The 15264-nt window shown below is 43.3% G+C and overlaps 1 long non-coding RNA gene and 1 other non-coding gene across 2 annotated transcripts in view; both read left to right on the forward strand.

The window, feature by feature from the left end:
- MEG8 (maternally expressed 8, small nucleolar RNA host gene) overlaps window positions 1–15264 on the forward strand; it is a 109465-nt gene that overhangs the window by 14523 nt on the left and 79678 nt on the right. The window contains exons 6-9 of the long non-coding RNA NR_146000.1: window positions 1927–1992; window positions 2765–2961; window positions 6062–6133; window positions 9261–9350. This is a non-coding gene — a long non-coding RNA (maternally expressed 8, small nucleolar RNA host gene). The remainder of the gene's footprint in view (window positions 1–1926; window positions 1993–2764; window positions 2962–6061; window positions 6134–9260; window positions 9351–15264) is intronic.
- MIR370 (microRNA 370) lies at window positions 6968–7042 on the forward strand. Its single transcript, NR_029863.1, has one exon. It is a non-coding gene; the product is annotated as a microRNA 370 (primary transcript).

Below are 15264 nucleotides of genomic sequence, written 5' to 3' on the forward strand. Positions count from 1 at the left end.
CCATCTGTGAGATAAGAGATGGAAACCAAACGTCATTTCGAGAAAAGCCCCCATTCCCACCACCCTCCTGGCCCCCCCCTTCCCCCACCACCCCAATCACGTTTGCCAGACACCTGTCTGCTTGTCAGAGCAATATTCAACAGGAGAGTTCCTTCGCTTCCTCCCTGGAGGGAGAAGGGAGAGGTGTGGACGGGGAGAGGGGAGGGGAGAGGTGCCCCCCACTCAGAGAGGCCGCTGAGCAGAGTTCTGCATCGGGTAGGAGTTGGGCCACCGAAGATTTGTGCCAACTCACGGTGCGGTGGAATCAGACAGTCTGAATTCTTCAGACACCAGCCAAGAGTCTGTGGCGCCCCCACGTGCCACAAGGGGGCTGCCTGGGCCACATTTCTGAGCCCGAAAAGTGAGGAGGGGGACAGTCAAGAGGGACCGGCGCTTTTGCTCTGGCAGCGGCGCTTTTAACTGCGACAGATGCGTGCGGTGCGGCGGGGGAGCCGGCCGTGCCGGGGCTGGGGGCTGCTGGGCGGGGGTGGTCGGGGCGGGGGGCGGGGGCTGCAGGTTGCGCCCCTCCCTCACAGACGGCTGCGCTGCAATGCAGCAGGCTGCGGGAGCTGTCCCGGGAGCTGTCCTGTCCGGTGGCCGGCTTTCCAAAGTGGGGAACGAGAGATGAGGGAGGGAGCACTTCCAGGCGCTGCGTGGTGGCCAGGCGCCCAGGAAGCCGAGGGGCCCGAGACTCTGCAGCGGGGCCAGAAAGAGAAGAGTGGGGGAGGAGGCCGGGAGTGGTGCATGGACCAGGGGGTAGAGGGAGGTGGGTGTGGACCTGGGGTCGGGCGCCAGTCAGCTTGCAGCCTATGAAGGACGGAAAGGAGGGCTACAGAGATAGGGGAAGAGTGGGGCTGAGGATAGCCAGAGCGGCTTGGCACACAGTTTTAGGGTAAAAGCATCAACTCTTATCTTTCCAAAAGAAATAAAAAAGCCAAAAAAAAAAAAAAAGGCATTTGAAAGCTAGACAGCTGAATCCTTCCCAGCATGACTGAGCCGGTCACTCCAGGGTCTTCCTTCAAAGCGTGTCTAATGGGAGACAGCGTTGTCCCAGTAACCAAATTGGGACCAGAGTCCCAGGGAAGGGCTCATCAGGTGGCCGCTCTGCCTTGAAGAGTGGTACCCTCAGGCCCTTTTCCAGCCAGGGGTCAGGGAGAGAGCTGGAGGGCTCGGGGAGGCAGGGACTGGGAGGGAGAGTGGGGAGAGGAGCGCTGGGGGCTGCAGGAGGGTCTCTGGGCAGCTGGCGGGTGTCTCGTTCCGCAACACTCTGCACCCTGGTACATCGTCCTCCGTCCACTCAACGTGGAATGATTCTCTTCCCTCTGGATCCAGCCCCTCTAGTTCCCTTTTCACTTTGAGGCATTTGCCCCCTGTGAATCAGTTCCCTGCTACTCCAGAAAATTTCTCTCATACCCCAGGCCCCTCTGTTCTTTTAAATGGCACCCTTCACCCCCAGCCCTTCATCTTCTGCACTGTATTTTCACTTGTTGATTTAAAAATCCCTTTATTATGGGAAATTGCAAACAACACAAAAGTAGAGAAAATAGTACGTATTTTTACTGTTTACTCAATTTTCATCTTGCCATTACCCGGACACGGTTGCCGTCAAACCCTGGCCCCTCTTGTTTCATCTAAACCCTAAACTGTCCCTCTACTCCCACTGCCCAACCCCTACCCCTGGACTATTTCGAAGCAAATTTCAGACACCATCCTGTTTCCTCTGAGCATTTTTTAGTTTGTATCTCTAAATAAGAAGCTTTTGTTTCTTAAAAATAAAACCACAACACCATTATCACAAGTTAAAAAATTAATAGCCTTTCCTTAATATCATCCACCATCTATGTAGCATTCCAATATTCTTGATTGACTCATAAATTTCTTTTACAGTTGGCTTGGTCAAGTCAGTGTTCAAACTATCTCCTGCTCTTTCAAGGGGATCTGGGGCTCTAGAAGGTAAGTATGGCTACACATTTAGGGGTTGAATATCTGCCTGGACCTTAAATGAGAAACTCAACCTCAGCAAACCTCAGTGTTCTCACTGAAAATGGGGCAAGTTCTGGGTCTCTCCTTGGGTCATTGAGAGGGTTAGAGCATTAACCCCTGAAGCCCCAGCCGCATGTCTAATATGTCAGAGACACTCAGCAAACAGTAGCTGCGAGAATGATTCTTTTTCCCAGAAACGTTTAAAGGGGATTTGGGCAGGGGCAGGCAAAACATAGCTGGCTATTGTCCATAAAACAAAAGGCTCCTGGCAGTCCAGGTCCCCTGAGTGGTTAAAACAGCACATGCACTACATCCCAAAAAGGGCAGCCTACAGTCTGGGGGCTGGGTTCGCCTGGACCTCCTGGCTTGCCGTTTAGCTGCCTGACCTCAGCTGTTGTGACCTGGGACCAACAGGGGACCCCGGCAGGTGCCTATCCACTAGATGGCACTCTCTACTGTGAGTCCAGGGGGGACCACCACCCCAAACTGCTTTGGCCACTGCCCAGCCCTGGGTGCCACCGGAAGATGCACACCACTAAAACATCGCAGATAATTTCTAAAAAGCACTTCTCAACATGTCATGCAAAAGATGCGGTGGTTTATTTCCTTGCATAAATCCCAACCAGATTGCAGAAGCAGAGGGAATGAACATTTAATGACTTTGCTGAGGCCAGACACTGGTATGTCTACGCTCTCTTTAAATCCTCATCCCAGCGACATCTGATTTCCCTTCATTTTACAGATTAGAGGACTTGGAGAGGTTAGTGACTTGCTCGAGGTCGGCTAGGAAGCAAGACCCAGGATTCCAACTCAGGTCTGTGTGATTCCTCTGCAAAATGGAGAGGTGGAAGGATGGATGTCAGGTCTGATGGATGGATGGATGCCTACATCAAGATACATGCATAGATGGAGAGATGGCTGGCTACCTCATGAATGCTGGTAAGATGGATGAGTGAATTGAAGCACAGGTGGTGGAAGGAGAGAGGAATGAGAGAGGATAGTCAATTTCCCACCAAGATCAAAGGCTTACTTGATCTTTGAAGAGAGGTTCCCTCTGAATGGAGCTTGCTGGTGAAGCTCCTGCCTTCTGTTCTGCTTCTGAGCGCACTGACTGGCTCAGGTGGCTCTGGGACAACAGGTGGGATGCCAGCTTACAGGGACCAAGTCCCAGCTGTGGTGCTGGAGCTGCTCAGTGGCAACTCTCCGTCTCTGCTGCTTTCACGCAGCACTGACGAAGAGCAGGCATCCGCCTTTCCACTGGCTCTCCTGGATGACTAAGCCCTAAGCCCCAACCGCATACTCAGCCCTTCACTGGCACTTGGCATAATTTTATCTCCTCTAAATCATCACAGCCACCCTCCATGATAGCAATTTCTATTCTCAATTAAGTGAAAAGGAAACCGAAGTTTAGGAGTGGTAAGTGACTTACCCAAAATCGTATAAGGAGGAAATGCAGACCCAGGATTTGAACTCGAGTCTTCTTTCCTTCCAAACTCATCCCCTCAACCTGTTTATTTCCTTTTCTCTATGACCATGTCTGAAGAAATCTGCCTTGGGGTTGTCTCATATTGGACTCACTCTCTTGGTCTGTCAGTGAGCTGAACTTCTCATCCAATCAAATCCAAGCTTATTTCCCAAGTAATATCTCTAGTGTATTCTATTTGTAATGATCACACAGGCAAGGGCCACACATATCACTGGCATCCTACAGTACAATTAATCAAGTCAAATTAGATTCCTGGCATCTCATATTCTGACTGAATGCTAATGGTAGTAGATGTAAAAATGACTCCAGTGCAAGGCAAGGAGGGAGGGGACTGGATGTAGGGCTGAATGGCGAATCAGTAAGCCTTGCTGCAGACCTGGGTTAACATTAGCAGATAGGTTTTGAGAACCTGCTCATGGGCTAGGCCCTACTTCACACATTCTAGGTGCTAAGGTTTCAATCTCAGCTTTGCCATTGACTACTTTTGTGAGTTTGGACAAGGTATTTAATTTCTGTGCCGCGTTTTCTTCAGTTGTACCAACAGTACCTTACTAATACCGATAGTACCTTACTAATGAGTACTTGAGGATTAAATGAGGCAAACATATAAATTCCTTAAAAGAGAGCATTCCAGGCTGGGCATGGTGGCTTATGCCTGTAATCCCAGCACTTTGGGAGGCTGAGGTGGGAGGATCCCTTGAGCCCAGGAGTTCGAGACCAGCCTGAGAAACATAGGGAGACCCCAATCTCTACAAAATATTTAAAAATTATCTGGGTGTAGTGGTGCACATCTGTGGTCCTAGTTACCTGGGAGACTGAGATGGGAAGATTGCTTGGGCCTGGGAGGTCAAGGCTGCAGTGAGCCATGGTTGTGCCACTGCACTTTAGCCTGGATGACAGAGGGAAACCCGGTCTCCAAAGAAAAAAAAACAAAAACAAAAAAGAATGCTTTCCAGATGTTGAGCATTCAATAAATATTTACTTACAGTGAAAATTACAGTTGTTATAAGTATTGTTATTGAGGTGTCATTTGATATCATTGGCAGGTAAGAATCATTATCCACATTTTACCAGTAACTGAACAGGTGCTCAGAGAGGCCTGTGTGCTTGTCTTTGGAGAATGCATCAGTGAAATAGAAACAGAAATACTAATTTAAAACTAGAAGTTCTAGTGATAGAAGTAAGAGTTCTACACAGCAAATGGGCATGATCCATCTAAAGAAAGATGAAACCCTAAGAGAGGTGAGACTCCTGTGAAGGAATTTCCTTGCAGTATAGGGGCTTACACAGGGGTTGCATGGTTGCTGGGAAGAAGCTGAGTAGGTCAAAGGCAAGATAAATAATTACAGTCCTCTGAATCCAAGTTTCTGAGGTTGAAATTCATTAAACTTCATGGTTTCTAGCAGTAGTGGGCAAGGTTCCCCAGTTCTCAGATATGATTTCATTAAACTTCTTTCCCTTCCTATTTTTTGGGGGAGAAACAGTCACTTGAGAAATGTTTCTTGACTTGCTCTTTTGGAGGTGGCCAGTTGGAAAAATTCTGAGTCTCTTACCATGAGGGGCATGAGGACTGGGAAGCCTCCTCCTTTTCCTGGGGCAGCACATCTGTAACTGGAGCCTAGGTGGCATGTGGCTGCACATCACATGGGGTGCCTCTGGCGGGGTGCAATCGGATGCCCTAACAGCCAGGCGGGAGGAGATGGGTTTAGCATTGGTGCTGACTTGCTGGGCTGTGTTGAGGATAAGCTGTGATCCCAGCATTGCCTGACTTCAGATTCTGTGCCAGTCCTGTAAGAACTGTTGCCCCTGCATCTCCTCCAAGATGGACAGTCTATTTATTCATCCAGGTCCAATGGTACATCCTGGGGATTCCCTCTGCTTCTGGGGCTGCCTGTGTGGGAGGTCAGAAAAACCTTCGCACCTCCCCCCCAGCCCCCGCCACGTGATTTATTCTCACACTCACATTGCGGGCTGGCAGTGGGACATTGCTGCCAAAACGAGGCTTCCGGAAGAAGTGGTAAGGCCGACTCTGGAGCGACACTGCCCGGGTTTGCCTCCTGGCTCAGCATTTCCTTGCTGTGTGACCACTTATAAGTCACTTAACTTCCCTGAGTCTCAGTTTCCTTAGGTATAAAATAGGACTAGTAATGCTTTGCTCAAATATCATCATCTCCGTGAGGCCTCCTCCCTGGTGTCACTCCCTACCCCCTTCCTGCTTTATTTTCCTCCCTAGTTCTTACCACCATCTTTTATCCCATGCATTAGGCTTACCTTTTCTGATGATTTTCTGTTCCTATCTCCACCCACAGGGATGTTAATTCTCATGGAACCGGGATCTGTCCGTTTTGCTCACTACTGTATCCCTGGCACTTAGACCCAGCAACAATACAAAGTGCATGCTCAGAAATTTTGGGGAAAAATTTATGAGATACTATTGAATTGTATCCACCCCAGAGGAGTGTCAATGTATGCAAAGTAGGCAGTGTGGTGCTTGGTACAGAGTATGCATTCAATAAATATTGGCTAATTATGATTATTATGTCTAATTCACAGGACTGTTGTGAGAATCAAACGAGATAATGTATGCTGAGGCATGCTGTGAACACTACGTGCTGGGTACAGGAGGTACAATATTAATGATCCCTGCTGCTTGGAGGGAACTTGCACTTAAAATGTTATGCTTTTCATTTTCACACCACTTAGGAGGGAGGAAAGGCTGGTGGGACGATCGCCACCTGAGGCTCAGGGAGGGGACAGGCCTTCTCCAAGGCCTCACAGTATGAAGAAGGCAGGGGCAGGTCCCCACACTGGTGGTCTTCCCACGACTCCCTCATGACAGTCCCCCAATGGACAGATTGATGTGTAAATGACGTTATACACCTACACCATAACTCTATATAATATATAGAATTATTTTCAGGTCCCTGAGTTGCTCTGAGGCCAGTTGTGGCAGGTGGTACACACCCAGGACAAGCTGGGGGGAGGGGTAAGAAGGAAACTGGCTGTGTATCTTTGGTAAGGCCCATAGTGAAGCCTCTTTTGGTTTCTTGGAATCAAGTTGAACATCAAGAATCTCACTGCATAGACTTCCCCAAGGGCAGTCCCACTTCACAAAATGAATTTTCATTTTCCAAAGCACATCCCTTAGTTGGATTTCTGTTTTTCAGTGTATTTGTTTAAGCTCTGATGCCATGTCCAAAAAAGAACATGCCCGAACAATTCCCTGCCCGAGTCCCAAACCCTTGGCTTGATCTGAGCATTGAACTAATTCATTTCTTTGATCAAACTGGGGACTGTTTGAGCAGTGGGCTGGGCGTCATGGGACGGGGAAAGGGTGGGGTGTGCGCAGGTGTGCAAGGCGGGCTACTTGAGGGATGGGCGATAGTTCAGGTCACCCTCCGGTTGGACCCACGAGGGCGCTGCATTCCTCATTCTACAAACCGTACAAGTCGGGGCACAAGACAGAGAAGCCAGGTCACGTCTCTGCAGTTACACAGCTCACGAGTGCCTGCTGGGGTGGAACCTGGTCTGTCTGTCTGTCTAACACCAGAGCTCGGGCGCTGCTGCAGAGGGAGCCAAGATTTGGGTGAGGGAGGGGGCTCAGAGGTGGGATGGAGGGTTTTTTTGTATTTTTTTTTAACCTGGTTGCCATTGGCTTGAAAATAATAACATAACTTTGCTTGGGGACCCCCCACTGCAACTATCTTGCTGATGGGGAAACAGGCACAGAGACGTTAGTTTGCTTTGCTGATGTCACCCAGCTCGTCTGGCATTGAGGCTGGATTTGGGAGGTGGGTACTGAGGTGTGAGCATATGTGCTGCAACCACTGGGCCCACTGGCTCGTGGTGTGTGCGCAGGTGCAGATGGCTCAGTGATCTGGGTTTGAGGGCTTTTACCAATCCCCCCAGCAGTGGGTGTACTCTGAACTCAAGCTTGTGTATTTCACACTCTCCCTCGACCCTTCTCTTTAGCCTTCACTGAAAACTCCTGCAAGCCACTGACCCATGGAAAATATTTAAGAATACATATATTACATATATGTTGTAAATTTATATATATATATATCTGGAAAGGGATTGTATCCAGGAGATTTGGGAGTGATTGTTTAAGGTAGAGGGAGGCAGGGGCATGAGAGGGGGAGGGATGGAGGTGGGGACCACCAGTGGTAATTCTCGTGGGTGGTTTTAACAATCAATACAAGAAGAGAGAGACATGCCAGCAGCAAGGACGGGAGTGGGTTGTAAACCAGGGATGGTGATTAATTCTTCACAACTGAGGGGCATTAAAAAAAGAAATCAGAGTGGTTCGTGGCTATTAATTTTGTTATTAAAAATAATCAAGGAATAAAGAAATAAGGTAATAAAGGCCTCGAATGGAACAATTCTGAGAATGTGTTCTGGGCAAAGGATTATGACTAATCCAGGTCTGGTAACCTGATATTAACAAACAAAAAAGGCCTCGTAGGCTATTTTCTTTTTTTAACCGGCTTTATGTTCCATAGAATGGGCACACTGGGGTTTCTCTCCCAGAGAAGGTGAGTGCAGACAAATAAAAGCCGGCTTTGTGGGTGTTGATTGAACAGTTAAAAATGAATGAATGCGTAAATAAAACCAGAGACAGCCAAGCATGTACCAATGATGGCAATGTGTTCCTCACTCCCCAGCTTTATAAATATATAATTGATAAATCAGTATTGTATGTATTTGTATTGTATTTAAATTGTACAGTGTGACATTTTGATATACATATATATTGTGAAATGATTACCATAATCAAGCGAATTAACATACCCATCACCTCATGTAGTTCCGTTTTTCCATGTGTGCAGTGAGAATACTTAAGGTCTACTCTTTTAGCAAATTTCAAGCATGAAATACATTATTGTTAACTATAGTCACCGTACTCTGCATTGGGTTACCAGAACTTACTCCTAACTGCATCTTACTCCTAAGTTTGCATCCTCTCACTAAGATCTCCAGATTCCTCTCACTCCTGACCCCTAGTAACTACCTTTCTAGTCTCTGCTTCTGTGAGGTTATTCCAAAACAAAAGCCAGGTTCTAGGCTGTTGAGGCTGAGGGTAGGAAGTGTATCAACAGGTATACAGAATAGTCACTGGTCTTGGGCTAAATGGTGACTTCAAGTGTAGTGGCTGCATAGTCAAAAATGAATTAGATGAGTACAAAAGTGACGAAATGAAAGAATGTCAAGAATGGACCACAAAGACAGTGTTTTATGACCTAAAGATTAAGATTTATCCATTTGTGTACAATTGTGGACTATATAAAATAAAACAAGACTTTGACCTCAGTGGATAAGAAGTATTTGGATGTACTAATCAATATTTTTGGTCTGGGTCAGTGGTGGGTTCATCTGTGTTTGTTGTATTTAAAAAAATAAATGAAAACATTGAAAAGGGTGAGTAGGAATCAAATATGATTGTCACTCCAAGTCTGCGTCATCTGCATCCGTTAGGAAGAATATCTGGGTTGGTTCCTTCTTGGGTAAGATGCACAGGGACATATGTTTGTGAGAGTCATGATTCTTGTTTTTGATTAGAGTGGTGAATTAATACACACTCATTTGTAATAATACAAATTAATAAATGAATAATTGCGGAGAGCTATGCTTGGGCCAGTGGTGAGACTGTCATGAACCAAAGATTATGATTAATACTGTGCTTCTCACCTGATGGCCATTAAAAAAATCTAGGTTTTTTCATCCTTTTTAATATCAGCCTTGTGTTCCACAGAATGGAGGCTCCAGAGTGAAATTAATGACACTTTGTCGATGAAGATCTTGATTGTGACCTCTGTGGAAAATGAGCCATGAACCAACCAATGTGAGTAATGTTTAGTGTTGTTGTTTTGAAGTTGGGTGGTTGGTTGATGGTTGTTTATTACATTATTAAACATGAATCAATACATAAATAAGGTCAAAGATGACGGGCATGATGAGAATGTCATGAACCAAGGGTGATTAATTTCATATAGCGTAACTGTTACCAAATTAAAAAACAATATTACTGGGCTGTTCTCTGTAGCAAATGAGCAAAGAAAAAAAGGAACACACACACACACACACACGTATACTACATATATATCACATGTATCATGTGTTATGTTTATACATGTATCCTATATATATATCACATACGTAATATGTGTTATGTTTATTTTTCATATTTGCAGGCTGGGGTGGGTTTATATATGTTTATGGGGTAATTAAACATAAATGGATGCATGTATAAACAAGATCAAAGAGAGTCAAGCATGGACTAATGAAGACAATGTATCATGATCTAAGATTTATGATTGCACAGCTCTGCAAATTGGAGAGACATTGAAACACAAATATTTATGCTGTTTCATTCATTTCAGTAGCATTCCACTATTAATTTATGCACTACACTTTTGCATGAACACTTCCCTATTGAAGAAGTTTGGGATGTTATGTCGGTGGCAGAGAGTCACATAGGGAAGTAAGGTATTGGTCGTTTTCTGTTTGTTGAATAGGATTCGTGATTGTTCTTTCATGATTTTTGTTTAAAGCGATAAATAAAACTTAAAAGGGCCAAGCATAGATAATGAGGATAATATTTCATGTAAAGTGAGGCTTATTAATTAAATTCTACACAAGTAAAAGTCATTAAAAATGATCCAGGGTGTTTATTTTTCTAATAGTTGCTGTTTGTTGCACAGAATGGACAAATCATAGTTTATATAGTCATGCAGTATTTATGAGAATGTTGACTCTTACTTGGGTAGATAAGGTACTTAAAGAAAATGTAATTAATAGTTGATGTTGTTAAATCTTGGCTGGAGAGTTGTTTAAGGGTGTTCATAAATGAGTAAATGAATGAATGAACAAACACATGAATAAAACAAGAGAGGGCAAACATGGGACAAAGGTGATCATATCTCATTGTCGTAAATTCTTTTTATGTAGCTTCAGCATCCGTTTTCAACCTAAGTTTAACTTTCTCATTCCAGAAGCAGGCTTAGTCACCCTTGACACAGTTTGCAGTTATCCACCTCCTCCAAGTTCTTAATATGTTAGATCCAGATAACTGCCTTGTACAGCCACCTCCAGGATACTGCCTCCCTAAAAAACAGCTAGATACACTGACCCCACAGCCTATGTGGACCACACAGATATAGTGGCTTGCTCTAAATGCACCAGTGAGAACTCTCTGCAGGAAACCTGCTTGGGAAATGCCATAGCCTGCAATACAGGCTTTCCCCTTCCCGCTGGCCCTGTGAGGCATGCAGGATCTGTAAGTAATAAACTGCTTCTGTTGTTTCATTTCATGTGTTTTGTTGAGTTGCTTCCTCTGTGTCTCACCTGACCAACACACTTGAATTGAACTTCTTTCCTGGTCAGGGATCTCCTAGAGAATGGCTATCTTGGCAGGAATAGACTAGATGTAGGTCAGACAAGAACCACAGGGGTACTGCCAGTGTAAATGAGTTTCCTATGAGAGGGACACCTGGTAATGGATAGGATGCTTAGGCATTAGACTGTCTGCTGGGATAAAGACGTATCCCATAAAAGATACGCTGTAAACACCCATGACCACCTCTCCTGCATCCCCATCAGGCAGAGCTAGAATTTATATTCACTCTCTTGAGACAGACCTCAAGACCATGTTAGAAGAAAGTACAACACTCATCATCCTAGAATTATGATTATTCCAATTCAGTTCATCCAAGGTCCCTTTAAAAATGCATTGGTTAAAGAGTCAGTTAATATTCTTTTTTTTGGCATGGTGGCATGTTGGATGTTGATTTTAGTACTAAAAATAAATAAATAATTACCTAAGTGTGTAAAATAAACAAAAGGCCAAAACATGGACTGGTGATGAGAATGGTCCAAGAATGAAAGCATTATAGTTAATTAAATTCTGACTGCCACACAAATAACCTACCCTGTTTCACTTCCTTTACCAGCTGTTTTGTATTTCATTTTGTACATGAACATAGTTTATTTACACGTTTGCCCATAAATAGAAATCTGGGCTATTTACTCTGACCAAGGAGCACACAAAGAGATGAAAGATGACGTCAGTGTTCTATTAGTGGAGTAACAGATTGGATTTATGATTGCTCATTGCAACTTCTTTAGAAATGATCAAATCAAATAAAAGAGTGTCAGCATAAACCAATGATGATGTTTCATGAAGCAGAGATCATGATTAATCCAATTAGGTTCATTAGAAAAAGTTCTAGAATATAACCTAAGAGTATTTTCTAGTATTGCCCAATGGAACTTTCTTTCTTTTTTTTTTTTTTTGCCTTGAGACAGGTCTCACTCTGTTGCCCAGGCTAGACCTCCCTGTGCTCAGGTGATCCTCCCACCTCAGCCTCCTGAGTAGCTAGGACTACAGGTGTGCACCACCATACCCAGCTAATTTTTGTATTTTTTGTGGAGACAGGGTTTCTCCATGTTGCCCAGGCTGGTCTTGAACTCCTAGGCTCAAGCAGTTCACCGGCCTTGGCTCCCAAACAGCTGGTTACAGGTGCAAGCCACCATACCCGTCCGCAGTAGAACTTTCTGCAGTGATGGAAATGTTCTGTAATCTGTTCTGTACAGTATGGTAGCTACTAGTCCATGTGATTATTGAGTCCTTGAAATGTGGCTGGCGTTCATGAGTAACTGAATTTTTAATATTACTTAATTTTTATTAATTTAAATTTAAATAGTCACATGTGGCTACTGGCCCATGCAAGTCTGATATCCAGTGGGGCAGTCAAATTTTAAAGCTACTACATTAGTCAGTTGTGTTAGGTGGTTGGTTCATGGCAGTTTTTTGAATATTAAATATGAATACATAAATACAAAAGTTAAATAAAAGCCTAAGCATGGACCAGTGATGAAAGTGTGTCATGAACCAAATATTATATCCATACATTTCTCAACAGATGAAGTCCATTATGTAAAGGTTTCTGTTTCTCCAGTTATGGTTAAGGATGAAAAGATTATCTATCTATCTATCTATCTATCTATCTATCTATCTATCTATTCATCTATCTATCTATTATCTATCTATCTATCTATCTATCTATCTTTCTATCTATCTACCTACCCACCTATCTATTATATATCTATCTATCTCTATAATATACTACTGTTTTTCTTGGTTTTGATGGTAGATTCGTGGTGTTTTACTTGATTATGTTATAAAAATCAATAAGTGAATACATTTTTAAAATTCAAAGACCTTAAATAAATAGGTTATCTGTCTTCTATATGGTAAATATTCTATAGACACGAAGGTCACAAGAACCACTCCCACTTACAAAAAGAATAGGAGGCACTGAGCAGTGCCACCCCACGGCAACTCCGTAGTCCTGCTGGGCAGATGATGTGGGCTCTCCTTACCTGGGCCTGTCACTCATATAAGTGGGGACACATAGAGAGGGGTTTGTAATGGTCATCATTCTCATTTTTATTTTAGGTGATTCACTCCATGGTGTTCATTAAGTTAATAATTAAAATAATCAATTGATTAAGTCAATTAAGAATGAAGTGTTAATTGTGGGTCAGTGGTGAGAAAGAGGGCCAGCCATGGACCAATGTTGAGAATGTGGCACAAGCCAAGGATTATGGTCAATCCAGTATATTAAAATTTTAATATTTCTTTAAAAAGTTTAAATCTAGTCTCTTTCACACCTTTTCACACCTGCTTTCTCTTCTACAGAGTGAGTGCACCGCAGGTGATCAGCTATTCTGTAATGATGAGGGCCGGGCTGCTTTCTCTGTGGGCAAGGAGCATGGAGGCTGATGACAGGACAGTCAGGGTCCTTGTTCTTGGTTTGGATGATTTGCTCATGGATGTTGACTGTATTATTTAAAAGAAATAAATAGCTCTACATATTAAAATATTGCAGAACATGCATGGACCAATGATGAGAATGTTATATGAATCAGTGTTCATGATTAATCCAATTCAACACCACTTCTATTAAGAGTACAGTCAGGCTATTTTATTTGTGCTGCTGGCAGTTTAATATTCATATACATTTTACATCACTGTTGATTTAAACAGTCCTCCATTGATATACACCTATGCCATTAACTGCTTAAGAGGGTATCACAAAGGAAGATTGAAAGTAATTATCAGTATTCTATTGGGCAAGAAGATGGTGGATTTATAGTAGCTCATTGTGTCATCTTTGAAATATAGACAAATTAAAAGAAAGAGGGCTAAGGATGGGCCAGTGATAACTGTGGCATTGCTATGTATGAAGAATGTTGATTGATCCATTGATCCATGTGTGTCATACTGAGATGCGTTATAGGAAGAGATCTAGTGTATTATCTCTGTGGGAAATTAGATTATAGACATGCACAGTCTAGTATCATCAGTGCTAGCCACTGGAGCTACTGTGCACTTGGAATGTGACTAGTCTAATCGACATGTGATCTACATGGAAAAATACACACCGAGTTTAGAAGCCTCAATATGAAAAAGGTAAAATATTTCTAGAATTATTTATATTTATTAAATGATAGTATTTTAGATATTGGGCTAAATAAAATACACAATTACAGTTGATTTCATCTTTTTCTTTTTACTTTTTAAATATTGTAGCTTCTAGAAAATTTACAAGTATTCGTGTAGGTGGCATTATATTTTTTATTGCTCAGCACTGCTATAATCCAATGAGAGGAATATTCAATTTTATGTTTTTCTAATCCATGGGTACTGATTGTATTATTATTGGCTAATCAGTGATGAATCAATGACAAGTGAATAAATGAATGAGAAAAAAATGGGAACAGCACATGCTAAACATTAAAGTGTATACTGCTGAAACAAGGATTATTTTCCTTTTTTTTTTTTTTTTTTGAGACAGAGTCTCACTCTGTCACCCAGGCTGGAGTGCAGTGGCGCAGTCACAACTCACCACAGCCTCGACCTCTAGGCTTAAGCAATCCTCCTGCCTCAGCTTCCCTAGTAGCTGGGACCACAGGCTCATGTCACCACACCTGGCTAATTTTTTTGTATTTTTTGTAGAGATGAGGTTTCACCATGTTGCCTAGGCTGGTCTCAAATTCCTGGGCTCAAGTGATCCACCCGCCTTGGCCTCCCAAAGTGCATGAGCCACTGTCTGGCCTATTATAAGTAGTTTTTATTAAGCACCAAAACCCGTAAAAATAATGGCTATGGTTTAATGGTTAATTCTTTTAGGTAAGGATGGTTAGTTTGTTTAGGTAAGGAAGACATGAAAAGATCATGTAATAATCGATGCTGTTCTGTGTTGTTGGTGGTGTCTTGCTAGTCTTCAGTTTTTTGTTTCAAAGAAAATTACTGACATTAACAAATACCTGATTATGTAGCTGACTAAATGGAAGAGGATCAAGCATGGCAAGTGCTGAGTGAGGATTAATCCATGTAGGCACTACTGAAATCCACTGTAAGAGATACCCAGTCTCTTACCTTCATAGATGGGCCTGTAGCAGGGTCTTGATCTTAACCCTTTTATGCCTCATGGTAGTGATTACATTAGTATAGTGTAAGTGAATCGATGAGTAAATCATTAAACAAATTGAACAAATGTATAAACGAACTTTTTTTTTTTTTTGGAAAGGGAGTCTCACTCTGTCGCCCAGGCTGGAGTGCAATGGCGCGATCTCGGCTCACTGCAACCTCCGCTTCCTGGGTTCAAGCGATTCTCCTGCCTCAGCCTTCTGGGTAGCTGGGATTACAGGTGCCTACCACCATGCCCAGCTAATTTTTGTATTTTAGTAGA

The sequence above is a fragment of the Homo sapiens genome, chromosome 14 (genome assembly GCF_000001405.40).
Source record: "Homo sapiens chromosome 14, GRCh38.p14 Primary Assembly".
Lineage (NCBI taxonomy): Eukaryota > Metazoa > Chordata > Mammalia > Primates > Hominidae > Homo > Homo sapiens.